This window comes from Homo sapiens, chromosome 3 (assembly GCF_000001405.40).
Source record: "Homo sapiens chromosome 3, GRCh38.p14 Primary Assembly".
Classification (NCBI taxonomy): Eukaryota; Metazoa; Chordata; class Mammalia; order Primates; family Hominidae; genus Homo; species Homo sapiens.
In genome coordinates, this window is record NC_000003.12 from 16,840,200 (window position 1) to 16,843,531 (window position 3,332).

A 3,332-nucleotide genomic window follows, 5' to 3' on the forward strand; every position below is an offset into this window, starting at 1 on the left:
TTAGTAGTTGTATGATTAAATTTAAAGGCATCTCTGGCAAAATCCCAAATAGTCTTACTGATAGCCTTTCTAGTTGTGTGTAGGAAGTGAGTGTGTTTCTGACAGGTTTTGAGATGAGAAATACCACACACAAAAGAAAATCCAAACCATTAGGGTATTTGACTGATAAAATATCTTTTACTGTACGGATCATGAAGAGATAATTCAATACAGATGGTTAATGAAGATATTTTTACTTCATTGGTAATTTCAAGAAATACAAATTCAAAGAACAACAAAATCAAATTTTCACCTGCTACGTTTGTAGATTTAAAAAGAAGATTGACTACTGGTGAGGATGCAGAAAGATGGGCAATCCCGTTTGTGGTTGGCCAGAAATTTGATACAATTTTTATTATACATAGATAAATAACTTCCTAGTACCAAATTTTCTGCCAGTTATTAATACTGAGTGTTATTAACACTGGGAAGTTATTTGTCAATATATAACAAAAAGCCTTTAAAATGTTTATATCTTTCAACCGAGTCATCTATTTTAAAGAAATAATAATTTTGTAAAGGAAACAAAAAGTTATACTCAAAGATATCCTTGCAGTGCTACAATTTTTAATGGGGAGAATTGGAAACAAGCTCAGAACAATAAAAGGGTGGGTGGTTAAATATGCTACTTAGAATGAAATATGCTGGCATTAAAATGAGATTTTAGTAATAATCTATGGTCATAGCTACCATTTATGAAGAGTTTACTATATGCCAGGCCCCAAGCTAAGCACTTTGAAAATATATTATTTTATTTAAATCTTATTACAACAGATTAGTAACCTCCCAACTTCCAACAATTTTATCACCTCATTTAAACTCATTTGACAAATTAGAAAATGGGGGAAAAAAGTGTTAACATGAGCAAATTCTCTTGATATTCCTTTAAGCAAAAAAAAAAAAAAAAAGGAAGTATACAAAGTTGTATGCACAGTAGTCCCCTCTTATCTGCTTATCTGCATGGGATGCCTTCCAAGACCCCCCACCAGATGCCTGAAACCTCAAATAGTACTGAATCCTATATATTCTCTGTTTTTTCAAACTGATAACCAAAACAACTACTATGTGGTATACATCGTGGGTATTCTGGACAAAAGGATATTTCACATTTCAGGAGGACCTAGTGGGACAGCGTGGGAGTTCATCAAGCACCTTAGAATATTGCACGATTTTAAACTTATGAATTGTTTATTTCTGGAATTTTTCATTTACTATTTTCAGACTGCAGTTGACTGCAAATAACTAAAACGTTGGAAAGTGAAAGTGCAGGTGAGAAGGGACTGCCGTAGTTTCAGCTCAACTATAGAAGTACAATAAACCCACTCATAATCTTGTAAGTAGGAATAAAACTCCAAACTGCATAAAGTGCAGGTTTGTATTATTACCAAGTTCCTGAAGTATCAGTGGGGGCTGGAAGGTGGAGGACAGCTCCATCGCTAGTCATTCACATGCATTATTCTGGATACATGAAGTTTAGTGAGAAATTTACCGAGATGTTGAGTGATTTTTCTCTGTATTGTAGCATTATGGGTAATTTATGCTTTTCTGGCTTTTCCACATTTTCTACAATTAGCATGTAGACGTATTGCATTAAAAATGCTTTGAAAAGTTTAGAAAACTTAAAGCAATTTGTTTTACTAATTTTTTAAAATAAGAGGGCAATGACATCTCTATTCTTTACAGTCCTTTTAGATCTGACAGCTCAGTAATTTAGACAGGAGAGAGAAAAGACAAAGCCCAGTGGTCAGAGGGAAATGGGAGGTGTGTCCCCTCCCAGCTACAGTGAGGGGGCCACGTGACGCCTGTGGCAGCATCTGTGGTCACATATGTTACAAGTGAAAAAAATATCACAATGAGGTTGGTAAAGCCTTGGGCATTACCCAACCTCATGTAGCTACCAAAATGTTTATTAAAAAACTATTTACAAAAGAAAGAAAGACACTATTAAGGGGTAAAACCAGTTTTCTGTATTATCTAAGAATAGAGATGCTCCCCCAAGTTAGCATGAGAGGCTAATTAGGGAACAGCGCTCTTTGACAAGAAACAAGAAGCAGGCTGGTCTCCTTCTGCTGTTTGCAGGATCTTTGAAAACTGAACTGAAGTTAACTTTGAGGCCGGCCCAGCATTTGTTAAATCTGAGCTTCTGAAGCTGCCGCAGCTGCAAGGTGTGCTCCCAGCTCCTGCAGCAACCCAAGTAACCGGGGGAAGTGCCGGAGGTGGTGAGCAGAAGTAGGGAGAGGGGCGATCCCCCTGCAGGATGGGATGCCAGGCCCAGGGTTGGGCCTTACAGGAAGTGCCCAGCTTTTGTTGAGGTGGCTGTGCCAAGCAGCAGAGGGCCCGCCCTTGTTTGTTGGGGTTTTCCTACTGGGTTCCGTGATGAGGTGGCTTAAAAGCAGAAGACTCAGAGAACCCTAAACGCTGGCTCAGGCCTGAAGGCTGAAGTTAGGTGCATTTAGAGAAATCGTTCATGTATGCAGGGGGCAGCTGGAGCAGCTGAGAGAGAGAAATGTCAAGTATTAGGTTCCAGATGGGCTCCTAGCAACATAATGCTAATTTTCCAGAGTGCTTTCACCTTTCTTCAGAGCCACTCATTCGTTCCTTCAACTGATGTTTACTCAGTATTGTTATAGGCACTGGAGAAGCCAAGATAAATAAGACACCTTTGCTGCCCATCCAGGTAGGAGACAGAGAACCAACAAACACATTTCAGTGTGGTGAGTGCTGTGGTGGGCCCAAGACCAGGGCACTGTGGGCACTCCCTGGAGAAGAACCTCACCGAAGCCAGGGGTTCAAGGAAGTGATAATATCTGAGCTATGTCTTACTTTGGTGCGTCTCCGATTGTAACGGATGCAAAAAGCACTTGGGGATCGTGTTAAAATGCAGGTTCTGATTCAGCAGGGTTGGGTGGAGCCTGAGATTTTGCGTTTTTAACAAGCTCCCAAGTAATGCCAATGCTGCTGGTCCAAGGTCCACATTTCAAGTAGCAAAGTCCTAAATGATGTCTAAGAAGGAGTCAGCCAGGTGGAGAAGTGGGAAAGGATATTCCTAAGAGAAGGCACATTCCACGCACTCCACTTAGGGAGCAGGAAGGGTTGCCCCTTGAGGGAAGTTGGGGTTTTGCTGGGTAGGCTTGAAATTGCCCTGGGTTGGCCTCTTTATTCTATTAGGGGTTTAATTCATTTAAAGTTTGAATCATTCATTCAAGTCTTTAAGGCTCAGCCCTAAACCTGATATTCTAAGAAATATATTCCTAACACTCACCTGACGTGTGTCCTTAATGGTGCCTAATGGT

At 40.2% G+C, this 3,332-nt stretch overlaps 1 annotated feature.

The window, feature by feature from the left end:
• Nucleotides 2,117-2,366: an enhancer, noted in NCBI's record as "active region_19555". NCBI's record gives its function as "activates an Ori minimal core promoter by ATAC-STARR-seq in GM12878 lymphoblastoid cells {active_cell/tissue: GM12878}" and the evidence as "EXISTENCE:reporter gene assay evidence [ECO:0000049][PMID:35858748]".